Raw genomic sequence first — 27,709 nt, 5'->3', positions numbered from 1 at the left:
AGTGACAAAGGCCTTACCTACAGTAGGCCCATCACAATTGTGAGGAAGGAATAGCTCTACTTTCAAACCATATATCCCATGAGAAAGCTCAGCTTTTCCATCGCTCCTTCATCTGACCTAGAAAATACAATTCACCTTTCCCTCTATCTACCCAAGCCTGAAGGCCTGGAGGTTTGCAGCTTGGATCTGATAAAAGAAGAGAGGTCAAATGGGGAGACTCATCTCTACTGAGAGATTGGCTTCTGGCCATGTCACCCAACCAAGAGAATGTTCCCTTTATCATTAAAGGGAGTTAACTCCCAATAAATACTTGTTCTATTTGTCCTGAGTTTGTTTCCTATCTCCAAGGATGTTTCTGAAGCCACTCCTTAAGGACTGACCTGCAGGGCTTAATTTATGACTGTTTGTTCTAGAGTCTGCAATCCCTCCTTCTCTCTGGATTTAATTTCAGTGTTTTGGCACTTAAATGGCCAATCCGGCTAGGCCCTGCCATGAGCCTCTGACCATCACAAGAGTGTACAGCTTATTTTATACAGAGGACCCTTCTTTTAGGACCTTTCACGCGCACCAAACCTGACTGTTTTTGCTACTTCCATTGCTTCTACATAAACAGTGAAATTTGCCCGTGATTGGAAATTGTTTCTTACTACTGACCAGTTTCTTCATTAGGGAACTCTGTGCTGTTCTTCCCACTGCTCCAATAGACAAAAGACTTTCACTGCCACCCCAAGGAGATGGTCACAGCCAGAAGGATCCTTAGGGTTCACCAAGATCCACAGAGAAGCAATAATAGTCCTAGGATAATCTGGGACTTGCCTCTCGGAGTGCGTGCTGTCACACTGTGTACTCTGACTTTCATACCAAAAATGCTCATAGAAGTCAAAATCAGAAGAATGACCCTGCTAATGATGCCAAGGTCTGAAACACTAAAAGATAAGGGCTAGGCTATTTCCCAGGAAGCCTGGACTTTCGAATCCACACACAAATGACTCATCAATCCTAGAACACTGCTTTTTACCATACCCCTTTATAGAATAAACAATGCACTACTGATTTCATTCTTGACTATATAGAATTTTTTGTACTTTTTCTCCAGTGTTCACATTATTTTACATTTTACGTACGTTCCATGTCTGCAAAATACTTTAGAATTCAACCAATATTTAATGACTAAGTATACACAGTGAGACACTATGCTATATGCTACAGAGTAATAATTAAGTCCCTGTAGACCGAAAAAAAAAAGGACAAACTTAACTATATTTAATTCCCTAAGAGAATTCTGGGCAAGCTATTATGCAAGTCAATGAAGTTAAAAATCAGAGCAATTTTACCTATACCTACATTTTACGTATACTTCCAGAGCAAAATATAGGTAAAGAGGTGATATTTAATGAGACAGGGCGCATTCAGCATAGTATGGCCATAGACAAGAGTTGACATTTGAGAGGTGCCTTCAAGAAGAGATAAAATTTCCAGAAGAGCAATGGATCAGGTGAATAGTTCAGGTGGAAAGACTGACAGAGCAACAGGAAAGCATTGAGCGTAATATCTGGGGAACAATAGGAAGGTCTAGCTTTATCAAGGGAATGAGTAGGAGAAATGATGGAAAAACTATTTCAGGACAAGTAGGTACAGGCCTTTAAAAGCCCAGAGAAGGAATCCATTGTAATGCAATAGGCAAATGGGAGCTACTGGTGGCTTCTGAACAGGGAAATGACATCACCAAAATTAAGCCTTAAGATGATCCTCTCTAATCTCAAGCTCCACCTCTTCTTCCTTGTTAGTCTCCATTTACACTGTTCTGACCTTCTCTTCCTCAGAGGCCTTTGCATTTGCCATCTCCTTTACAAAGACCTCATCTGACTCCAGACTACCATGTGGTTGGAGCTTTCTTAAAATTAGGTATCTGCGGCTGGGCGCAGTGACTCACGCCTGTAATCCCAGCACTTTGGGAGGCTGAGGCAGGCAGATCACAAGGTCAGGAGCTCGAGACCAGCCTGACCAACATAGAGAAACCCCATCTCTACTAAAAATACAAAAAATTAGCCGGGCATGGTGACAGACACCTGTAATCTCAGCCACTCAGAAGGCTGAGGCAGGAGAATTGCTTGAACCCGGGAGGCGGAGGCTGCAGTGAGCCGAGATTGCGCCACTGCACTCCAGCCTAGGCGACAGTGGGAGACTCTGTCTCAAAAAAAAAATAGGTATCTGCTCAAGTGTTCCTCCTCAGTGAGTCTCCCTGACCAACTAAATGAGTTCTCTCACCCTTGGTCACACTTTAGTCTACTAACATGTTGCTTTCCAACATCACCTATCATAATTTGAAATAATTTTACTCATGTCATTACTGGATTATGGCTTGTCTCCTCCCACTATAACGCAAGCACCGTGTGAGCAGACAAATGTAATTGTATTGTGCCTAGTAGAATGGCTGATAAAATAGGTACTCAATAACTATTTTAACAGCTTTACTGAGATATAATTCACATACCAAACAAATCACCCATTTAAAGCAGTGGTCCCCAACCTTTTCGGCACCAGGGACCGGTTTCACGGAAGAAAATTTTTCCATGGACAGGGGAGGGGGCAATGGTTTTGGGATGAAACTGTTCCATATCAGATCATCAGGCATTAGTTAGATTCTCATAAGGAGCACGCAACCTAGATCCCTCACATGCACAGTTCACAACAGGGTTCGCCCTGCTACAAGAGTCTACCGGCCCCACTGATCTGACAGGAAGTGGAGCGGCTCACCTGCCCCTTACTTCCTGCTGTTCAGCCTGGTTCCTAACAGGCCACGGACCGTATCAGTCCATGGCCTGGGGGTTAGGGATCCCTGCTTTCAAGCAGAATATTAAATTGTTTTTAGTATGTTTACAAAGTTGTACAAAAATCACCATAATCAGTGTTATTATTTTTTGAGACAGTGTCTTGCTGTCATCCAGGCTGGAATGCAGTGGCACCATTACGCTTACTGCATCCTCAAAATTCTTGGGCTCAAGCCCTCTTTCTGCCTCAGCTTGCCAAGTAGCTGGGACTACAGGCTACCATGCCCTGCTAATTTTTTATTTTTATTTTTTTCTTTTGTAGAGACCAGAAGGTGTCACTTTATTGCCCAGGCTGGTCTTGAACTTCTAGCCTCAAGTGATTCTCCCACTTTGACCTCCCAAAGTGTTGGGATTACAGGCAACAGCCAGTGAGCCAGGTCAACAATCTATTTTAGAACATTTCATCACCTCCCAAAAAATCTCATACCTATTAGCAGCCACTCCCCATTTCCCACCAACCCTTCCAGCCTTACCCAACCACAAATCTACCCTCTGTCTCTATAGATTTGCTAAATCCGGACATTTTATATAAACAGAATGATACAATAATGTGGCCTTTTGTGACTGGTTCCTTTCACTTAGAATAATATTTTCAAGGTTCATCTACATTGTAGCATGTATCAAAACTTCATTTCCATTGTGAAAAAATATTCCATAATATTAATATGAATACACCAAATTGTATCCATTTATCCGTTGATAGACAGTTGGATTGTTTCTGCTTTTTGGCTACTGTGAATAATGATGGCATGAACACTTATCTACAAGATTTTGTGTGGACAAATGTTTTCATTTCTGTTGGGTATACATTTAGGAGAGAACTGCTGGGTCATAGAGTAGCTGTATGTTTCACCTTTTGAGGAACTGCCAGACAGTTTTCCAAAGTGGTCTCACAGCTTTACATTCCCATTAGCACATTCCCATTGTAAATTGGAGAATTGCAATTTCTCCACATTCTCATCAACACTTGTAATGATCTGTCTTTTTTATTATAGCCATCCTAGTGAGTGTAAACCAGTAGCTTATTGAGGTTTGACTTACATTTCCCTGGTGACTAATGATGTTATACATCTTTAGATGTGCTTCTTGCCCATTTGCATATGTGCTTTGGAAAAATGTCTACTCAGATATTTTGTGCCCATTTTTAATTGAGAAATTGGTCTTTTATTATTGAGAGTGAGAATTCATTACATATTTTGGGTACAAGTCTTCCTCAGATATGATTTGCAAATATTTACTCCCATTCTGTGGGTTGTCCTTTCACTTTCTTCACGGTGTCCCTCAACAACTATTTTTTAAATAAAACAATGAATAGAATTAATCTTTTATGACAAAGGAAACCTGTGACTGGCTCATAAATATGTGACAAATTCATGGCAGGGCTGGATCTAGAAGGGTGACTCAAGTCACCTGTTTTCAGCTTTGAGTTTCCTTCACTGGTTCCCAGCATTGTCCAACCAGCCCAGGAGCAATGACATCATCCCGTGATGAGTCAAAGAATGCAGCATTTGGCAAATTGGTCCGTGAGCACCAAATTGAAAGACGCCCCATAGTTAAAAATAAAGAAAAAAAGGTCTTGCTGGAAGCTAGCCTGTAATAAATCCTAAGTGGCCTACAATTTTGTTTTCTTTGAGAAACTTCGAAATTGATGAATGGGGTTCCCACTGACACACAAACATATTAGTTAAATGAAACTAGAATAGGCACAGGATGAGTAGGCAGTATCTTTCTAAATTTACATTATGGATATTTGCTTATAAAATTATAGGCCCTGGGATGATCTCCCCTCCCTGCTCTGTATTCAGACTACCCAGCTTTATTTTGGTTGAGGATCTCCCACCAGAGAAAACAAGGTACAAGCATGGGAACATGGATATACAGAGATCTGGTATATTTTTACAGCTGTAAGAGCTTCTCAGTATAGAAAAATACCAGACCTTAAGAACTTATTACAAAAATATCATCCCTTAAATACTTATTTTATATATATATATAATATATATATATAATATATATTTTATATATATATATACACACACACACATATATACACACATGCACATACACATACAGAGAGAGACAGAATATAAACAGTTTGTTATACTGGGAAAGGCATCAAGGAAAGACTTGCTTTTAACTAGGTTCAAATCTTAACTAGGTTCAATGCTGGCATGGTATCCAAAATGTAATTTTCCCAGGATAGAATTAACCTCTCAGATAATGTATAGAAAATTAAAATAGAAACTTAAATACTTCTTTTGTGATGCTAACCTCAATTAACAATCAGATTACCATACAAATGTAAACAAGATTAATCTATTATATAGAGCAATCTAAAAATGTTATATGTGATAGAGCAATCTATAAATAATTTTAAAGACTCATTTTAAAACTTATCTGTATTCCTATAAGGTAGTAAAGTTTAGGCTAAGAATACATGAAAGGCATGTTCAGAACACAGCTTTGTTGTACTATATAAAATACGTATTTAAAGGGCAGAATACATGAAATGTGAATAAATTATAGTTATAATTATCTGTTATAATACTGAGATGGAAAGTAGACTATGTGACAACCTAAGCTAAAAGTCAACCTAAAATGTGAGATAGTATAGACCATTTTAAAAAATCATCCTTAAATATTGTGTCCTGGTTTTACATTCTCTGTTTCCACTGTCCCCTCTATATTCAGTGTTCAACACGATCTTCAGTTTTTAAACCAAATATGGGAGTTGAAAGCAATCATCCATGTGTCTGTCTTTATCCCTTAAGTTGGTAAGGGACCTGCAGTGCAAATAATAGCACACAGATGTGTAAAGCAGAGATAATACCTACATTTATCCAAAGAGAATGAAATACGGGGTAAGCTTCATGTTTATCTGCCCAGTGGACATATCAGCACAAATTGCTTGGAATCCTCTTCTTCCACGCACTGATAACCCCTCAAATACTTCAGCCTCTGTTTCTTGACTCTTTCCAACCCATTAGACTTCGCCTGTTCTCTGCCTGGTCGTCTCACCTGCATCTCCATACCCTGGACCTTATCATTGAGCAGAACAACTCTAGCTAGTAGCTTACAAAAAAATAAAAATACTCTCTGGGTTGGCTCTCATCTTTCTGCTTCTACCACTCTTATCAAGCTGGCCATCCATTTTTCTTTTGTTTGTAAAGCCGCTATGGCCACCCTATTCCATTGGTCCAGTAGTCCTATTTTGGCCCCACCACCTTCCTCACAGACTATGGTCAACCACTTCAGAAGTGGCACCTTTTATATTCAAGAACTGTTTGCCTCCTAGTTTCCCAGAGTCTTCTTTCGCCTTCTCTCTTACTCTGGTAAATTCAAACTCCTTGTTTTGTCCTTTTCTTTTTTTTTTTTTTTTTTTTTTTTTTTTTAGATGGTGTCTCACTCTGTCACCCAGGCTGAAATGCAGTGGCGCGATCTTGGCTCACTGCAACCTCCACCTCCTGGGTTCAAGCGATTCTCCTGCCTCAGCCTCCTGAGTAGCTGGGATTACAGACGCTCGACACCACACCCCGCTAATTTTTGTATTTTTAGTAGAGATGGGGTTTTGCCATGTTGGCCAGGCTGGTCTCGAACTCCTGACCTCAGGTAATCTGCCCGCCTTGGCCTCCCAAAGTGCTGGGATTACAGGCGTGAGCCACCACGCCCAGCCTGTTTTGTCCTTTTCTAATCTCAGGCTCCTGAACATTCATGAGAAAGGCACAAAACAATACAGACTGGTTCATTTTTTCTTTTTTCACTCACTCATTTAATCACTACTCACTGCGCAATGGCTAAGGACAAGCAGCAAATAACCTCATTGCTATTTGGTACATTTTTATATAGTCATCAATCATTAATTGTTATCAGCATTTCCTAAAAGTGTTCCAAAATACTGAAGTATCCAGACATCCATTTCCTCCAGTTCCCGCTGCTCCAACTTGCCACAGGTGGTCTTCATCTTTTTTTTTTTTTTTTTAAGTTCTGGGATATATGTGCAGAACATGCAGGTTTGTTACACAGGTATACATGTGCCATGGTGGTTTGCTGCACCCATCAACCCGTCATCAAGGTTTTAAGCCCTGCATGCATTAGGTATCTGTCCTAATGCTCTCCCTCCCTTTTCCCGCCACCCCCAACAGGCTCCAGTGTGTGATGTTCCCCTCCCTGTGTCCATGTGTTCTCACTGTTCAGCTCCCACTTATGAGTGAGAACATGTGGTGTTTGGTTTTCTGTTCCTGTGTTACTTTGCTGAGAATGATGGCTTCCAGCTTCATCCATATCCCTGCAAAGTACATGAACTCATTCTTCTTTATGGCTGCATAGTATTCCATGGTGTATATGTGCCACATTTTCTTTATCCAGTCTATAATTGATGGGCATTTGGGTTGGTTCCAAGTCTTTGCTATTGTAAATAGTGCTGCAATAAACATACGTGTTCATGTGTCTTTATGATAGAATGATTTATAATCCTTTTAAGTGACTGAGATTGAGGCCACTCTATACTTCCTTTCCTCCTCAGCGGAATTCCTCTGACTCGCCACTCGCCCTTCCTTCCTCTTTAGTCTGAGGCACCAACGTTTCTCTTCCTTTCCAGATGGACTTTTTATCCCTCTTTACTTACACCCTGCATGCCCCCTGCCCACGTGCTCACTGTGTTTCTCCTGTACCACACACTGTTCTAGGTGCTGGGGATACAATCATGAATGAGGCACTGCCCTCTCAAAAAGCTCACCAGCTAGTGGAAGGATAGGTGTGTAATTAGACACACACACACAAATTCACATACAATTGGGATGACTACATCATTTATCTTCCAAACTTGGACATGTTTGAGAGTGAATGGGGAGGTAAAAAACAAATGGGGTGAACCGATTTACTGCAGGGTAAAAAAAAAAAAAAAAGTTGTTTGTTTTTTTTTTTTTTTTGAGACAGAGTCTCGCTCCGTCACCCAGGCTGGAGTGCAGTGGCATGATCTCGGCTCACTGATGCCTCAGCCTCCCGGGCTCAAGCAACTGTCCCACCTCAGCCTCCCGGGTAGCTGCAACTACAAGCACAGACCACCACACCTGGCTAATTTTTGTATTTTTAGTAGAGACAGGGTTTCACCATGTTACCCAGGCTGGTCTTGATCTCCTGGCCTCAAGAGATCCAGCTCCCTCAGCCTCCCAAAGTGCTGGGATTACAGGCATGAGCCTCTTCACCTGGCCAAAAAAATTTTAAACAAGATATAATAACTCTCATTTACAGAGTATTTGTGTGTCAGATACTATTCTAGCTACTTTTAACTCATCCTCACAACAATTGTATGCGGGGATCACTCTTGTTATTATATCCCTTACACACATGAAGAAACTGAGGAACAGAGAGCTTAAGACACTTATCTAGGGTCCTCCAGCTAGGAAGGAGCAGTATTAGGTTTCAAACCCTTTTAATTCTAAACCTATGATCCTAACTACTCCAGCACATTGGCAAGAAAGAGATGAAGGGAGCGAATGGAGGCTGGCAGGTGGATAGAAGCAGATGTCCAATGAAAAACTGTTGTACTCCGTTTCTCTACTGCCCCACAACCTGACTTCCACTCCACTATTCAATCAAGCATTGGTGCTAAGAGCACTGGAAGCCTCCTTATCACTTTACACACATCCTCCTGGATTCTTTCTATAGCACTTCTCACTACTGCACACCATCTAAAGGAGGCACCCTTTCTTCTGGTGGCTCTCTCCATCTTCCTGGCCCCTTCATCTACTCCCGTTCTCCCTCGCTCCCTAAGTGGAGACATTCTTTTCTCTGCCTTTTCTTCTCAGTGCCCCTCTCTTCATGCTTCATCTCTTAACAATCCTAAGCCCTTCCACAAGCTTCCTTTATACTGAGGTTGATGATGAGTGCTAATTTATACTTCTTTCCCAACCTAAATGCTCTTCCACCTACTAGACATTTCTATAAGCATGTCCTTCTATCTTCTAACAAAAAGAATGCTGATGATCCCGCTTATATGTGGAATTTAGGGGAGAAAATGTTGATTACATAGAAACAGAGTGTAACAGTGACTACCGGGGTGAGGAGAGGGAGGAGGGAGATGTAGGTCAAAGGGTACAAACTCACAGTTATGTAGGATGAATTTGTCTAGAGATGGAATGTGCAGCAGGAGTACTAGGGATAAACAACATAATAATACTGTGTTGTTTATTGACTATTTGCTAAGAGACTAGATTTCAGGTGCCCTTACCACAAAAAGGAGGGGTAATTATGGAAGACAATAAATATGTAAATTTGCTTACCTGTAATAATCATTTCACTATGTATATGTATATCAAAATATCATGTTGTATACCTTAAGTATAAACTAATGCTGAGCCTATTCTTTTGTTCTCAAAATGATCCTGCAGACTGTCCTAATTCTACACAACAGTCCACCATTCTCCTGGTCCCAAGGCTAAAACTTTACAGCTATCTTCACATTCTCCCTCCTCCTCATCCCCTACTTCCATTTAGTTACCAAGCCCTATTGAATCATCCTCTACAAGAACTTCCAAATCTTTCCATTGTCATGGCTCCTGTTTCCATTACCAATAATCATTGCCAACACAATAACCACTCTGCCATTATGCATTCAGTTCATTGTGCACACTGCTACCAGCAGACTCTCCCAAGGCGTGACTGAACCATACTATACTACCCAGAAGTCCATTACTATTTGTCTTACTAAATGATAATTATAGGTGAAAATGTTCTAGCTTCTCAAGAACAGAGAATGTTTTCTGATCTGTATGTTACATGGTAGACTTGTGCTGGTAGAATCAGTGGGTTGTTGTCTCTCCTTCTCAGAGATCCTCAATATAAACTTCAATATAAACTTATCCAAAATAATAAGGTTGAAACTCTCTAGCCTAGGCATTTAGGGCCTATAAAACCTGATCTCTAGTGGGTTTTTTTTTTTTTTCTTATCCCACATCTCTTTTCTCTTATTCTAGTAACAGCATCCCACTTTCCTTTGGGGAACTGTCCCTACCCAACTGGTGGACTGCCCATCAAAGGTCAACATCTCCCTTTGAGGGAGGACATGTGACCCAAGCTCACCCATCAAAATACTGCTACCCTCCTAGACAAAGTGATTGGCCCACATGTGGGGATACGACCCCAGTCAACGATCAGGAGTCTTTTTCAGGTGTTAATTTCAATACTGGATAAGAAAGGTACTAAGCAGCATATGAACTTTGCTGCTTACTAGAAAGCACCTTCTGAGGGAAAAGGAGAAACAGCTGACATTAGCACTACCTCTGGCTTTTCAGCTGGACAGGCCCACAATCATTTTTTTGAAACTCTTGGATTTAAATATGTTTCAGAACTCAGAATTATTCAGGTGAGAATAGCACAATGAGGCACATACTTGAGTATATTACATACACCTCTGTCTGGATCAAGGACAACATCACTGCAATCAAATTCAATTCATATTTCTGCAATGAAACAAACTAAGGGCCTAATTAATGTCAGTTTAGGTCAGGGTAGGTTTTGCCATGAAGAAAGTGCAGATCAGGTAAGGTCTGATTACAAAAAGTGTTCAGCTGTTTTCAGAAAGGCATATAAAGGCATGTGAATCTGTTTAAACTAACAAATTCCCAGTACGCTTATCTGCTTGTTTGTTAGTTTTAAGCAGTTTGGGGTTGATTTTTGACACTTGTACCTGAAAAAGGTCCCATCTATATTCCTCATGGGCCTATTATGTGTCAGTTTTACTTCCCACTAGTCTTCTATACAGACTCACACTGGAGTCAAACTAAAAGACTAAGTTTTGATACTTTAAATAGAAAATCTTGCCTCGTCCCAGTGGCTCACACCTGTAATCCCTTAGGAACACCAAGGCAGGTGGATCACTTGAGATCAGGAGTTGGAGACAAGCCTGGTAACATGGTGAAACCCCGTCTCTACTAAAAATACAAAAATTAGCCAGGTGTGGTGGTGCTTGCCTGTAATCCCAGTTCCTAGGGAGGCTGAGGCAGGAGAATCACTTGTGCCTAGGAGGCAGCGGTTGCAGCGAGCTGAGATTGTGCCACTGCACTCCAGCCTGGGCCAAAAAGCAAGACTCCGTTTCGGGAAAAAAAAAAAAAAAAAAAGAAAAGAAAGAAAATCTTGCAACCTCCATAGAGTATATGTCTTATAAACAAGGGCTGTCCAACAGGAGATGGGAGCCTTAGCTGGCTGGTTTTCTTGTCAGTTGCCCCCTCCCCTGTCCTGTCTCCATGGCTCTTGGGGGAAAAGTGTAGCTATCACATCATCCTATGGGAGAATCAGGCACAACACTTATTCCTCTTCCTTTCAGCCCCCATTATATCCCCAGGGACAATCACAAGAATCTGGAAAATTACTGTATGTTGTTATTCTCTTCTGAGTGCCTGTGCATCTCTTAGGTGTCTTTAAAGATCATATAATGCTCCCTATGCCTTATTTTAGCTAATACACACTCATCTTCACTATTAGGTCACCTGATTTTCACAGCAACTCTATGAGGTGGATGGAGTAGGTATTATGGCTCCCTATCTGAAAAATGAGGAACTGAGGGTCAGGTTGGTTGATAAAAGTAAAGACCCTGGAATTTCACTCAAACCTGACTCTTAGTCTTGTTTTCTTTCCGATCTAATTTTACTCTCAGGATGAACTCAAATTGGAGAGTTTATTGGTATTGATTGTTCCTCCTTGGTACCCTTTGATGTAGAGATGGATAATCTGTTGAAACTAGTGAGAACACTCATGAGTAATTTTACTCTAAACTATGTGCAAACTTTATTCTGGTAAAAATAAAAATTGACATATATATGCTGTGCATATGTACATATATTACACACATACATATCTGTGTATATATCATATATAAGTATATGTGTATATATGTGTGTGTGTGTGTATTCTAGCATGCATTAATGTCTATAAGCATTTATTTTTACCAGCCAGGAAGCTAAAGTCAGCTTTTCTGTCATTGATCACAACCTGAATTAAATGAATAAAAAAGTCCCAATGCAGAGCAATGCCTGGAGATACTTCAGCCTTGGTAAAAACCAGACACTGCTTCACATAACTTGAACCGACAACAAAAATATCCCTCCCTGCCCAGGGGATATTTCTGGGTCAGGACTCCCTCTCTCAGCCAAAGAGTCAGACATTGCTGAAAATTTTCTCACTGTACTACCCTGTTTCTCTGGCTGACCTTTAAGGTTAGGACCTCTGGATGTAAGCCCATGAAAGACAGTGATAAGGCAAAGTCAGCTGCCTTTAGGCTCACAAAAATGCAGTTTTTCACTTCAAATAGACCCCGAAATCCCCAATGACCACATACAAACCATTCCTTATCTATGAGGTTAATGCAGCAGACACGCCATCACCAGACCATGCACTCTGAATTGTTTTTTCCAGCAAAGGTTCCCCTACTATCCCTTCATTTGCCTCATCATAAGAAATATGCATATGAGAGTGGCTAGCAGGGGTCAGGGCTGAGGATCTTGAGCATGAAGAGTTGCCCTGTGCAAAGCCAGATATATCACACAGAGACCAATCTGGGACTACAGCACCAACTAACTCTCCTGTTTATAAAATGCCTAAGAATTTATTAGGCAAGCACAATCCACTCCCATACAACCCATCAGACTAACCACATCCCCTATTTCCAGGACTATCCATAAGCACCCAGAATTCACTGCCCATGTGAATCAACATTTCAAGCGTCCTATAATATCCACAGCTCAAAATTAATCAGCAGGGTGGGAGGTGTTCAGGACATCTCTGAACAAAGTTCTCCCTGCGAATGTATCTCTTCCTACCTACTTGGAAAATGCTTCTTCTAGCTTTACTCATACAAACTACACTCAGAATAAAAAATAAAATGTAAATGCGAATATGATTTAACAAAATTTTTCAGGTTATTTTTCCTCCCTTTTGTCCATCCGCAGTATGCTTATCCTGTAACATTTCATGGCCTATGACTAGGATGAATGAGGGAAGAGGGCCCTGCCATGGGAAATCAATCCTAATTGTTTAGAATCTAACATAAAACTATTTTTAAACTATTAATATTTTAAATTACTCACTGAAAGGGAAAATCATTTTCCCTGCCTACAAAGCTATGATATGGTTCTTACAATTCAATCTTCAAAAATATATTTTCCTGATCTTCACATTTCGCATCTCCATTTTTAAAATGTCTTCCTTTCTCCTTATCTAAAACTTTGGATCTCAATTATTTTGACCTTTCTCCTCAGATTCAGATTAAACAAACCTTTCGCTGCAAGCCTAACTATGTGCTGAGCAATGCATAGTTAACTCACTCTATTATCTAGAGATTTATCATTTTACAGATGAAGGAACAGAGGCTCCATTAAGTTCAGTGACTTTCCTGCTTTCACAGCCTCGAAAGTGGCCTCTCCAGAGTTTCCAAGTCCACATGCTGTCAATGGGGGGGCTCTAGGTAAAATATTTTTCCAGTATGGCTTGCATTTAGTTTTATCCTTCAGAGGTGTTATTCAAATTGTTATGTGGTTTGGGGAAGGGGCTTTGCTACTGGTAATCTCAGGCTGGAATCAAGGATTATAAGCAACTCACAGAAGGATAAATACAGCTATTGCACATTGTAAACAATCTGTTTGTTCACAAGGGATCTTCTCCCTGAATTCAAATAACCAGACATTAATTCTTCTTTGTAGATTTACTCTAAATGGAGGTCCACAATTAACAACATGTCAGGTCTTATTCCTTTATATCATTTCAATTGCCTAACCAGTAGATTGTTAGCTCAAAGGGTCAGAGCACATGATTAGTGAGGGAGGACAAAGGCTTCTCCCTCTATTCCCGTGCAGGTCAATAGGCATGCACACCTCCTACCCTCGGCCAGCTCAGAAGGTGCTGGTTCCACTAGATACTAAGAGGGCTGGTAGTCAGAACTTGTAGGGAAGAAAAGCAGGGCATTCTGCAGCTGACTCCGATACCAACCAAAAGATAATATATGCTAACATGACAACAACTAACAATGATTATGGTTAAGTATTATTATTGCAGGATTTCAAGGCACAACCATTCACAAAATATAAACATTTTGTGAAAACATATGCTAGCTCTATGAACAAAGGCAAGAAAACCTTCATTTATGTTCCCTTCTGGAAATCAAGCACGTCCTTTTTGCTTGTTTGTTTGCTTTCTTCTTGTGTTACTCTGCACATCCCATCTTTTTTTTAACAGAAGAGGCACAGCTATTATTTTCCATAGAAATGCCCTGGCCAGAAATCTTACCTCTCGTGACTTTCAAATGCTAAGATGCTACACAAAACATTACATTGATATTCTGAGCAAATGGTCAAAACTATACCTTTACTGTGGTGAAAATTTACTACCTTACTCACCTAGAATATCATACCGAAGATATAAAAAATACTACCAGGATAGTAAATGACTGCAGAAATAATAACAAGTTTCAGTTCCAATTTGCAACACGTAAGATGAGACCCCAAGCCCAAATGGGTAAAAAACAGAACATTCCAGACGCATCTGCAAATTAGTTACTGCCCTCAGCTGATCCACAGCTGGTTTACTGATGGAAAGAATAACAAAAGGATGTCTAAAGTGTTGAAAGGTCAGAGCAGTAAAGGATGAATAAGAAATACATTTGGCCTGTACAGTGCAATGATATTGCACGTGTGAACTCCATTTACCACCCCAAAGACTTAGCATAGGCTTAAGCTCCTTTGATCTACAGAGGAAATGCTCTCCACTGTAGAATAGCTGATCTTTTTACACTGGTTCAAGGGGTCCTCTGTAACCTCTATAAGCACTAAATTTCCTCATTGGCGCTGTAAAACCACAATAAATCATCCTTGGTGTTATTTGTATGTAAACTTTCTTAGCATTATTATTTTTAATGAGAAGCCATGAATCTTCACTATAAGGCCTTTTGTAAATAGTCAAGCAGAGGTTGCAGGACATTGCAATGTTTGCTTGTTCAAAAGTGGATTTGGTGACAATTTCTCCCATCTCGCTATGCCAGATTCTGTCATATACCAGTTCTGCTCAATTAATTCAGAAAGGTAACAGCTGTTTCTGCCCTTGTTAAAGTCAAGAAAGCTAGGTGCGTTTGAACTAAATATCTGTGAACTGAGACCAGATATTTGCTTCCAGCCTACTGAGCCATTAAATCAGAATTCAAGGAAATGGAGATTTTACTTCCTTCCTCCTTCATCATGGCATGGAAGGGTTCCCTAAAAGGCAGGATCCATGGGGGACTGGGCCTGCAACAGTCAGAGTAGCAGGTCTGAATCACTGCTTTGCCACTGTCTAGCTGGTCTCGGTTTCCTCATCTCCTGTGTGTGAGGTAATATTCACCAAACAAGGTTGTTTTGAGATTAAGAAAGAAGGGTATGTTCAAGAATTTATTCCTCCAAAAATGCCTGGTCATGTGTGAGATGTTCAATGTTAGCAGAACCCGAGATGAATCTCTGGAAAGATTAATAGTACTAGCTACTTTCAGTGCTAGCCTCCCCAGTTCCATTCCCAGGGCATAGGCAGTGCCCAACTTTAAGTTCATGTAAAAAGACCTGAACGGACTCAGTGTTTTCTTCCAGAGAAAAAGAAGCCAGTAGAATCCCAACGAGCCTTTAGAATGGAAATCTTCCGCAGATAACAGTCACTCAAGCAACAAAATCTGGCTGGCTTCCCTTACTTCCTTAGTTCCAGGGGCAGGAGGGAATACAAACCGTGCCCCTTGCCCTAGTCTCAGTTCTCCACAGGGCTGGCTTCTCTGGAATATGTCCTCCCTCTGGGCGGGCAAAGAGCAAGATCTTGTGCTCTTGCTCCTCTGAACACTCCCCGCACTCCCCAGCTCCTTCTAAACGCGGCGACAGCAGCTCTGCCTCCTCTCCAGGTGCCGCATCCCCCAGGCGGCGGGGAGGAGGGGCGGGGGGTGTCCCCGGGTTCCTGGGCGTGGAACGCAATGGCCTCAGAAACTGTCCGTACTCTCCCACTCCGCCGGCACCAGCCAGCACCTCCCTCTCCCTTCCCCCTGGCAGAGCACGCAGGGTGCGTGCACCCCGGGCAGTCCCCAAAGCGCGCCTGCTGGAAAGGCGCCATCCATCATCCTCACCTCCCATTCCAGCGGATTCTCGCCTGAGCCCAGCCAGGGCCCGCCCCTCCGGCCAACCCCAAAGATGCTTGCGGTGTGTATGTGGAGGGGGGTACTTTCTGGGACCCACTTTCATAGCCCTCTCTACCCCCATTTCTCGCAGGGGTGTCGGGGGAAGAGAACCAGAAAGCCAAGACCACTGAACCCGGAGTACTTCCAAATCTGTTACGCTTCCAATCATCCTCATAGCATCACCTTAGTTTATGGGCATTTCTCCCTAGCAGGAGAGCTCTGCCAAAAGCCCGAGAGCGGCACCCCACAAAAACCCCGCGCCCCTGCTGCCTGCCCAACTCTCGCCCCACGGCGCAACCTCCCGGCCCGGCACCTTCCGTCCCGGGGTAAGACTCCTCGTTTTCCCGGAGCGGAACCCAGCCAGCCGGTTTCGGAAGTTTCCCACCTCCCCACTACAACTCCCTTCCGGGAGCCCCCACGCGGACCTCGCTTAAGGCGAGAAAGCCTAGAGGTCTCCCCTAAATCTGCACTCACACCGGGGCCGGCCCCCTCTTCCCTCCCCCTCCTTTCTCCTCCCTTCCAGCTCCAGTCCCCGCGCCTCCGGAGTCTCCAGCGCCAGAGGTTCTCTCGCCCAAGAGGAAACTTCTTTCTGGGCTAAATTCAGGTCCGAGCAGGAAAGGCTTTCCCTTCCCCGCAGGCATCAGAGGCGCGCTCACCCCCTATCCCCCAAAAGACCTAATTTCCCCCTCTCCCCACGATCACCCTCTCTGAGACTGCCTCAGATTACTAGTGCTACTCGACTTTTCAGGTCAAAAGGTCCAGCCGTCTCTGAAGCCACCACGGGGGCACTCTGGATTTTTCCCGAGACCCTACCAGTCCCGCGTGGCTTGGAAAAGACAAGTAAACAAAACACGGACCCGGCAACTCTGGGGTGTGTGTGTGTGTGTGTGTGTGTGTGTGTGTGCGTACGCGCGCGCGCGCAGGAGACAGAGCATCGCCCAAGAGTTAGGGCAACAGCTGCTAGAGCACATCTGGAAGAGGGGGAGGGGGTTCCACGCAGAGGGGACAAGAAGCCCCCAGTGGCTTCAGGGCCGAGGGCTGGGCTAGCCTGTAGTTCGTTACCTGTCCTATGTTGATGAATCCGTACTTGCTGGCGATACGGTTGGCCTCCGGGAAGCCCCCGGCGATTTTGACTGCCCAGTGGTTGGTGTAGACGCGCGTCCGACACACGGGGAGCAGGCAGCCCCCGAGCAGCGCCAGCACGCACAGCAGGTCCAAACGTCCCGGGCAGCAGCAGCGGCTCCCCCAGCCCATGGTCCCGGCGCCTCGCTGCTCCCTCGCTCGCTGGCTGGTTCCGCGCACTAAGGGCGCGCACAACTAACTTCTCCGGCCTGCGCCGCCCGGCGAGCAGCCCCGGGCCGCCGCAGCTCGCAGCCCCGGGCGATCGGCAGGAGGCGGCTAGCCCCGGCAGGGAGCAGAGCAGCGAGCCTTACGCCGGCTCCTAGACCATCCCTGGGGCTGCCGGGACCTGTGCTCCCAGCTCTCCGGCCCGTGGGGCGCTCGGCGATGCTCCCCGGCTCGGACGCAGGAGGAGGCTGAGTGGGGCGGGCGTCCTCCGCAGTTGGGTTTCGCCCGGCTTGGCTCCCGGACTCTCCGACTCGGTCTCGCTCCTCCCGGGGCCCCCGAGCGCGGCGGAGATGACCAGCGGGAGCGGTACAGGCAGCGACCGGGCGCCCCCTCTGCTGGCCCGGGCTCCAAACGCTCGCTTGCTCGCTCCCAGCGCTCCCTCCGGCTCCGAGCAGCGCGCGAGGATTCTGAGTGGCAATGGCAGCAGCTCCTGCTCTGCATAAATGACTTCCCCCGCCCCCCTTAACACCCCTCCTTTCCCACATCGCCCTCCTCCTCTCCCTCCTCCGCCCTCTTGAAAGCGGCCGCAGCCAGGCGCTGACGAGGTCCTAGCGCCTCCGGGTTCGCCCAGCTGTAACCTCCAGGGTTCCGGGCAGTAAAGGCAAGTCTTTCCAAAGGACTGAGAAGAGCGCTCCGAGATCGTGGTTTTACTCCCTTCTCTTCCCTCCCTGCTGGATTTGTATGAATTTACCGCCACTTCCCGAAAGACTAAAGAAATTTACACGCCGGTGCGAATTAACCGCCCTGAAGATTCATTCATCCTCGTTCTAAACGTCCTTAAATAACTAGGCATTTAAGGAGGTCACTTACGTGTCAATTGCCGAACAAATAACTCGAGATTTTCACTTCGTTAATTCTTCATGCTTTTCAGCAGCTGTTTATTTTACACTTTCTGCTCCCGGGAGAAGCTACCACACAGGACAGTAAGTCGCATCGACTCCTAGAATTGGCTCGAAAGCCAAGTCTGTTGCCTGCTCACTTTCGAAATCTGCGATACTAGGCAACGCCACGGGAGAGTACAATTCCGGCCTTGGAAGTGAGGAAAGATGTTTCTATGAATATTTGGTGTGCTAGTGGATGGACATGTTGGGCCAAGGAAATAACTCCATTCATTTGTTGGATTGCGTCTGACGAGGGCTTCTTTTTCTCCACCAAGGGAAAAGTTTCCCAACTTTTCCAAGCACAGTCCTGTAACAGTGAAAGACTTTAATATGAAAAAGACCACAGAGGAAGTTCAGATGAGATATGTGGCGGCGTCACCTTCATTACTCTATCATGCACTGTGACTGCAGCAGGCAGGAGGGAGCTCAAATTAACCCTCTTCTCGCTTCTCCTTTACAACCTCCCTGCCTTCCTGGAGCGGGGGTGGGGCACAGGGTGATTTACTGTGACAAGAAAAATTATCCCGTATGAAATAATTCAACTGACTTTAAAAGTATTCACTATATCCCTAACTGTCCTCCTTTCTCTCCTCCTACCATGCCCTATTTCTTTCTTCCTGTTAATTTAAATGTGTTTGAGATTAATTAACTCATCCCACCTATAGCTTTTGGTACTGATTTTTTAAAATCTGAAAGATACCTGCAGACTTAAAATTCCACTAGTACCTTTGAGCATAGCATTTGACATTTTACATATTGTATAAGGTATGCTATATTATTTAATCTTGAAAACAAACCCACAAAATAACATCATCCCCACATTATAGCTGAAGAAATAGAAGATCAGAAGAACTAAAACATGTGCAGAAGTGTATGTATTTTATTCGTTTATTTATTTGACTGATTCAACACATCTGTTTTGAGCACCTAGCATGTGCAATGAATTGTGCTGTACACTGGAGAAAGGGGAAGGGGGAGGCACAAAAAATTAGTGGAATTCAGAATCTCTGAATACTGTAGAGTAAATGTGGTTTATTATTGAAGGTATGTATGTATGTATGTATGTATGTATGTATGTATGTATGTATGTATGTATTTTTGAGACAGAGTCTCGCTCTGTCGCCCAGGCTGGAGTGCAGTGGTGTGATCTTGGCTCACTGCAGCCTTCGCCTCCCGGATTCAAGCGATTCTCCTGCCTCAGCCTCCCCGAGTAGCTGGGATTACAGGCTGGCTAATTTTTGTATTTTTAGTAGAGACAGGGTTGGCTGGTCTCGAACTCCTGATCTCAAATGCTCTGCCTGCCTTGGCCTCGCAAAGTGCTGGGATTACAGGCATGATCCACCATGCCCGTCCTATTATTATTATTATTATTATTATTATTTATTTATTTATTTTTTTGAGACGGAGTGTCGCTCTGTTGCCCAGGCTGGAGTGCAGTGGCGCGATCTCGGCTCACCGCAAGCTCCGCCTCCCGGGTTCACGCCATTCTCCTGCCTCAGCCTCCCGAGCAGCTGGGACTACAGGCGCCCGCCACCAGGCCTGGCTAATTTTTTTGTATTTTCAGTAGAGACGGGGTTTCACTGTGTTAGCCAGGATGGTCTCGATCTCCTGACCTTGTGATCCGCCCGCCTCGGCCTCCCAAAGTTCTAGGATTACAGGCGTGAGCCACCGCTCCCGGCCCTATTATTATTATTTTTAAGAGGAAAACATAAGCACTATGCTTGTGCTTTAGAGTTTTGGTACAGTCTCCCTGCTAGCCAGTCCCTGTAGACACATCTCTTCCTGCTTCCCTAGCCATGGAGTCCGAAAGCTCACAATCTATTACAACACTGTTAACTCTGACAATCTGCATCTATGCATAGGGACATTGGATTACCCCTCTTGAAGATGGTAAATTTCAGATGGGATAAGACTTCAGTCAAGGTCCACATCTCAATACACATATAAGGGACAGTCAATCTCTCTTTTTTTTTTTTTAATTCAGAATTGTGGGCATTTCAGGTAGGAGGAAGGACCTGTCTCACCGTGATCCACAGAAGGGTTGCCACTACATAAGGTACTTTGTAACAAGTTTGAAGGATGCCGTACGGGTTTCTCTCTGGGACTCTGGAGCTGTTAATTGTTTAGGACTACAAAGGCAGCACAAAATGCTTCTCTTTCAAAGCCTTGTTGTCTCTGGGCTTCAAATTCTGAATGAAATGGAGAGGAATCACTGCACCCGGTTTTCTGGAGCCTGGAGATTTTTTTCTTGGGGTGGAAAAATTGATCATTAATATTTTTTTCTCCATGGTGTCTTTCTCTTTTTCTTTCCACTAGCACTCTTTCCTTCTGTGAGCATGCCCTGGTTGGCACACACAAATGTAACATTCACTGCATTGAACATGAGAGAAAATTGGAAAATGAGGTAGGAAGTGGGCAAACCACTTTTCTGCTTTGTAAACTAATCCCTGGGCCAGCATTTAAACTTACTCAAAGGGCATATTCTTTCATTTCAATGCATATATATTTTAAAGGGAAAAACCTAGCCCTGTTTTTTTTTTAAAAAATGAGTTGAACCCTCATTCATCTGTTAAATCAAATGTATGGATGTAGACTCATTCCTCTTACTATCCATAGCTTTTGCAGTTATATCACAGTTCCATTATAAGTCCATTCTCAAAAAGTGTGATTCTTAAACCTAAATGATATCAAAGAAGTCCCACTTCCATTGATGAATAGACATATTCTGCTTCCTCCTTTGGGATCTACTTTAACGATCTCATTAGCTTCCTTGGATAGAGCCTTGTTGGCCAAGAAGGAAGCTTGCAGATAAGCACCAATAGCAACAGCAAAGAATCTGTCATATTTCATGACCTTATGCTCTGATGGTTATGACAGTCAATTCTATTACAAATGTCTCAGTAGCCAAAGGAAGGAGGAACTGATAGACTAGTAGTGGTTGATAGAAAACCATTCCTAACATTGTAAAGAAGCAAAAATCCAAGTCTTGCATGAGTGTTTTCTTTTTGTATGCGAAGAACAGAACTGCAAGATTTGCCCCTGGACTCTTCCTCTGTAAAATGCCATATGGCAGATAACCAGGCAGTTTTCAGTTTTACGCTGCCTTATACTTTGCAACATATTACTTGATAATGAGGCCCCACTAGTGTTTGGCCTGTCTGCCAAAGTCCCTTAAATCTCTAAAAGAAAACTTCGCTGAAATGCAATGAACAGAAAGAAATCTAAGCAGTTTAATGGAAGAAGAGAAAAAGAACTCCATAAGGACCCATCTTGAAACTCTGCAAACTGAAATTATTCTGGGAAGAGTTTGCCTTATGAGACACCTTATTTCTTCCTCTGCTATATCCAATGCCAGAAATTAACCTCTAAGATCTCTTATAACCTGAGATTCTGTGAATCAATAATAAATTGGTAATGGGCTGTTTGGAGCTGACCAGTGTGAGAAAAAAAATGCCTCTGAACATTTCACTGCCAATTAGAAGAGTTACCAACTCTATGGTATGCTAGTATATCAGATTGAGAATTGGTGTGAAAGTTCCCAAAATTTAATAATGCTAATAATGATAAATTACTAGTTAACCCTTGAACAACTTGGATTTGAACTACACAGGTCCATTTATGCAGATTTTCTTCAAAAAATACATCGTACTTTTTTTGGAGATTGCCACAATTTAAAATAACTCTCAGACAAACCATGTAGCTTAGATATATTGAAAAAAATTAAGAAAAAGTGCCGGGTGTGGTGGCTTACGCCTGTAATCCCAGCACTTTGGGAGGCCTAGGCAGGCGGATCACCCGAGGTCGCGAGTTCAAGACCAGCCTGACCAACATGGAGAAACCCCCATCTCTGCTAAAAATACAAAATTAGCCGGGCATGGTGGTGCATGCCTGTAATCCCAGCTACTCGGGAGGCTGAGGCAAGAGAATCACTTGAACCCGGGAGGCAGAGGTTGCGGTGAGCCGAGATCACGCCATTGAACTCCAGCCTGGGCAACAAGAGTGAAACTCTGTCTCAAAAAAGAAAAAAAAAAAGAAAAAGTTAGGTAGGTATGTTGTATGTTATGAGTTCATAAAATATATGTAGATACTAGTCTATTTTATCATTAAAAATATTATGAAAATTAAAATGTATTAAAACTTATACACACAAACACCTACAGACCATAAATAGCACCACTCACAGTTGAAAGAAATGTAAATAAACGTAAAGATGTAATATTAATTACAACTGCATAAAATTGATTGTAATGCATATTGTACTATGGTAATAATTTCTTAGCGACCTCCTGTTGCTATTGCGGTGAGCTCAAGTATTACAAGTATCTGATGACACTAATCATCTCCACATGAGCAGTTAGTTTCTCCAGTAAACGGTGTATCACAGCAAAAAGTGATCTCTCATGGTTCTTGCGTATGTTTCATTCTATTTAGGGCAATTCTGTAAATCTTGAACACCATGGGACCTATATGAAGTGCTAATAGTGATGCTGGAAGGGCTCCCAAGAATTGAGAAAAGTCATGACATTATGAGAAAAAGTTGAATTGCTTGATATGTACCATAGATTGAGTTCTGCAGCTGCAGTTGCTTACCTTTTCAAGATAAATGAATCCATCCAGTGTAAGAACATTGTAAACAAAGGAAAATTAGTAAAGACTTCACTGCAGCTACACCAGCAGGTGAGACAACCTTGCACTGTTTTTCTCACCAGCAGGTGAGAAACATGTATTTTTATTTGATATTGTTAGTGCAGCTTTTATATGGGAGCAGGATTGCTGAAAGAAAGGCATACCTATAGAATCTAATGTGATTCAAGAAAAAGGGAAGTTGTTATATAACAACTTCAAGCAAAAGGAAGCTGAAGAATCTAAAGCTGGAGAATTTAATACTGGCGCAGGATGGTTTGATAATTTTAGAGTTTTGGCTTTAAAAAAAGGCTCAAGATAGGCCAGGTGTGATCAGTGCCTGTAATCCCAGCACTTCGGGAGGCCGAGGTGAGTGGATTGCTTGAGCCCAGGAGTTAGAGAACAGCCTATGCAACATAGTGTGACCCAGTCTCTACAAAAGATAAAAAATTAGCCAGGCAAATTGTCATGCATTTGTAGTCCCAGCTACTCTGGAGGCTGAGGTGGGATGACCGCTTGAGGCCAGGAGTTCAAGGCTGCACTGAGCCATGATCATACCATTGCACTCCAGTCTGTGCCACAGAGCAACACCCTCTCACACACAGAAAAAGAAGCCAAGAAACATACAAAATATGTGTTAATCAACTGTAAGGCTTCCAGTCAACAGTAGGCTATTAGTTAAGTTTTGGGAACATCAAAAGTCATAGAAGATTTTCAACTTCAGGGAGTGAGGGTACCCCTAGCCCCTGCATTGTTTAAAGGTCTACTGTAAAGTATTAACTACCACTTATTAAGCACTAATTATATGCCAGACTCTGGGCCAAACAGGTCTTAATGTTATTCATAGAGCATCAAAGCAGAAAGAGACCAAATATATCATATAATCTAACTTCCTTGTTTAATAGATAAAAATACTGAGGCCAATAGAAAGTCAATTTGGAGGTCAGTAATCCTATCAGGGAAAAGTAACTTAACAAATACATGAACAAATAAAACAAAGGAAGAGCTACATGGATCAAAGATGACTGTGTGCTATGAAACAAGGATTAACAGTAATCCAATTTACTTATGTGAGTTAATAAAATACAGTCAGGAGAATGGAAACTTGATTTAACATTTCAATTCTTTAGATGTTTAACCACTACCACTTAAAACCATGATCCATGACACACGAGCTTCTAGGACAAGAGTTGATTCAGGGTTTGGTACTACATTTAAAGTATTGTATAATATTGATAAAATGGGACACTAATAAGTGAGTAACAGTCTATCAGTTTCAAGAAACTTTAGCTCCTTCTTTGACCTGTTTGAAGTTGGCTTAATTTGACACAGTTGGCTTCCCTTTGTGGACATTTAAATCCTAAAATAACAAACTGGTTCCCAAAAAGCTTTTCTTTTCTTTTCTTTTGAAATGGAGTCTCGCTCAGCTACCCAGGCTAGAGTGCAGTGGCGCAATCTCGGCTCACCACAACCACCATCTCCCGGGTTCAAGCGATTCTCATGTCTCAGCCTCCCAAGTAGCTGGGATTACAGGCACCCGCCATCATACCTGGCTAATTTTTGTCTTTTAGTAGAGACAGGATTTCACCATGTTGTCCAGGCTGGTCTTGAACTCTTGACCTCAGGTGATACGCCCGCCTCAGCCTCCCATAGTGCTAGGATTACAGGTGTGAGCCACCACACCTGGCCCAGAAAGCTTTTCAGTTAAAACTGAAGTGTGAAGGTTGTAGGTGATTTCCTTTAGATATATAGGAAGGAAGTGACACACCAACTGTCTCTTACCTTCTAGCTTCTACTTCCAGTCCCAGATCAGTGTCTTCTTCAAGATGGATATGATGAATGAAAGTGGTTCCCTTCCTACCCCTGGTCCACCTTGGACTTTAGTTCAGAAAGATAGCAGGTAGGGAAAGGATGGCAGAAATCAAAGGAATAGGCTTGAGTCTTTGAGCTTCACCCACTAAAAAGAATGGGTGCTATGCCAATGGCAGCAGCCTATCCCCAAGAGTCAAGGCTTGCTCTTTTTGTAATGTCTTTGGACCCTTTTCTCCAAACATTTTATTGGCTCTTGTATTCTTAAGATCCCCTCAAGGAATCAGGCGATTAATAAGTAATGATGCAGCAACTTCATCTTACTTAGGAAGACAAAGCTAAATGGGTTTTCATAATTAAAATCTTTTTTGAGGTCAGGCGTGGTGGCTTACGCCTGTAATTCCAGCACTTTGGGAGGCCGAGGTGGGCGGATCACCTACGGTCAGGAGTTTGAGACCAGCCTGGCCAATGTGGTGAAACCCCATCTCTACTAAAAATACAAAAATTAGCCAGGCATGGTGGCATATACCTGTAGTCCCAGCTACTCGGGAGGCTGAGGCACAAGAATCACTTGAACCCAGAGGCGGAGGTTGCAGTGAGCCAAGATTGCTCCACTGCACTCCAGCCTAGGTGACAGGGCGAGACTCCATCCCAAAACGACAACAACAACAAAAAAAACTTTTTTGATTCCAAGGACTAGATCTAATTCATTGATTCCCAATGAGGCTTTCTAAATCAAAACATATTCAGTATGATTTTACTTGTCAATATGAAGCAAGATAAATTATAATAAAATTATTTTGAAAATACCCTGTGTAAGCACATCCTTTCATTTATTACATTCCATTGTTTCCAGAAGCTATGTGTCTAGATCACCTACTGCGTCCTGTGTGTGACATAACTTCATTCTTCCGATGGTGTATTCAAAATGTAGTTATTACACGGCCATTGTGCAGCTATTGTTTAGGCATCTCTCTACCAATCTTCCCTGCCCCTGCTTCAGATTTTAGTAATACAGATGATCCCCAATTTATGATGGGTTTACATCCCAATAAACCCATTGTAAGTTGAAAATACCATAAATCACAACTGCATTTAATACCCCTAAACTTTAAAATATCATGGCTTAGTCTAGCCTACCTTAAATCTGATCAGAACACTAACATTAGTCTACAGTTGAACATAATCATCTAACACAAAGCCTATTTTATAATAAAGTAGAGAATATCTCATGGAACATGTTGAATACTGTACGTTGCCTCAAAATTATGATGGTTTCACACACTCGTAAAGTCAAAAAACCATGAGTCAAACCATTGTAAGTCAGGGATGGTCTGTATGTGAAAACACACACACACACACACACACACACACACACACACCAAAAATAAAAATAAAAAACCAGACATCTTCTGTAACTCTTAACCTTTCAATTCATGATAAAGGTGTTTATCAGTAAGACTTTTCAGAGCCAGACCTCACTGCAATCATTTTCCTGGAAGAAAATGAGTTCAGGTTCAACTTATACCAATGAGCAGCAAATATCCTTCTGTATTATGTATCTAGAGTGGCAGCAATGTTCTATTTTCAAAAAGGTTACCCTACACGTAGAAATAATTTATCAATAAAATTTTATTTTTCTAAAGATTGGTGGAATACAGTTCAGCAGAAAGCTTAGAAGCTTTCAAATTTAAAAAGCGTAAGACTTCCCTGGCTCTGTGTTTACAAGTTCCCTGTGATGTCTCAAAAACAGATACTGCATAAAGAAAACACAGACCCCAGTTTGAACTCTGGCAAATGCTACCCTTTTAAATCCTATGACTTAGTTAGCTTTTCCAGAAATTCAGCAACTAAGTCTACTAAATCACTGGAGAACTTAAGGCAAGCTCCTCTTCAATTTTCTCCAGATATGAACAGTGAAAGCCTATGTTGCAGAAGTGCTAAATAATACTATAACACACATTTGTTGTATGAATGCTAAATATTGCCTTCTCTGAGAAAATGAGACCAAGTTCTATGAACATACTGTGCCTCATAGTTAGGGTTTGAGTGAGGAGAACATCTTTCTCTAGTACGGTTCTTTATTTATTTAAAAATAATTAGAGCATTGTTTTGAGATCTGGCAGCATATTGAACTATAAAAGGTGAGCATAGATTGAATGCTATGTGGAAAGAACAGGCAATATATTCAGTATCATTAATCATTTCTTATTCTAGTCTTTGTCGTACATTTTTTTGTGTGTCCATACAGATACAAGTTGGCAAATTCATAGGATATTTGCATGTTCACATTTTGGCAGCAAAATAAAAAATGAAAAGAATTTTGTAGTAAATGTCAGCAATGAAAAACCATGACATTCTATAAAACTGGGCTATGAATTATTAGAAAATAAAATCTTAAGGGATGACAGTAGTTGAGACTTCTAGGCTCAAAGGAGCTAGATGCTAGATGCTTGATAGAAAAGAAAAGTTACACTTACAGGTAAAAAGCTGACCACCTAAAGGTCAGTGATATACTTAAGGCCACAGCATTGGCTAAATGAAAAAATTGATTTTATATTTAATACCCTGGACACTTTAGAAAACACTTTTTCTGCTCAAGTGTATGTGTGGGGAGCTCCGGGTTTAGCAGATTGATTCTCATGATTTGAGAGATGTGAGGTTCCAGAAGTGGTTCAGCTACGTGTGGAAACTAATGACTCTGAAACAAATTATCTGATCAATATTCTATTATCCAATAGCTCTTTTACTTACATTGGGCCTAGAATGCAGCAATTCTCCTGTGTTAGTCATGTTCTCTGCATGTTTAATGATAAACTCTCTGCTAAATGGAGTCTGGGTGGGAACAGGCCTTTTCCTTTCTACAAATTCAAAGTAAATTTCCCTGAAAACATCTGGATCAAATGAAAAGAGGAAATTGATGAATCTGCATAGGAAGGGCGAAAGTAAACCCTGTCACACTGATTGGTTAAATAATGACCCAGAGTGATCTTGATGACTAACACTGACAGAGCACTGATACAGCATTTATATAGACTTTACAAAAT

General features: G+C 42.4%; 1 protein-coding gene across 8 annotated transcripts in view; it reads right to left on the bottom strand.

Annotated features, from left to right (window-relative positions):
• PCSK5 (proprotein convertase subtilisin/kexin type 5) overlaps positions 1-18,629 on the bottom strand; it is a 473,167-nt gene extending 454,538 nt beyond the window's left edge. For 7 of the 8 annotated variants that reach the window (NR_120409.2, NM_001372043.1, XM_011518769.4 and 4 more), the window contains exon 1: positions 17,065-17,765. Coding sequence is in view for 6 of the 8 variants with exons in the window: in NM_001372043.1 (NP_001358972.1) it covers positions 17,065-17,256 (192 nt within the window). In the remaining 2 variants the exon portion in view is untranslated. Of the gene's footprint in view, positions 1-17,064; positions 17,766-18,159 lie in introns of those variants that run through there. The other variant, XM_047423454.1, reaches the window with a different exon arrangement.

This window comes from Homo sapiens, chromosome 9 (genome assembly GCF_000001405.40).
Source record: "Homo sapiens chromosome 9, GRCh38.p14 Primary Assembly".
Taxonomy (NCBI): domain Eukaryota; kingdom Metazoa; phylum Chordata; class Mammalia; order Primates; family Hominidae; genus Homo; species Homo sapiens.
The sequence above is the reverse complement of the archived record's forward strand: the minus strand, read 5'-3'. Positions and strand labels throughout refer to the sequence as shown.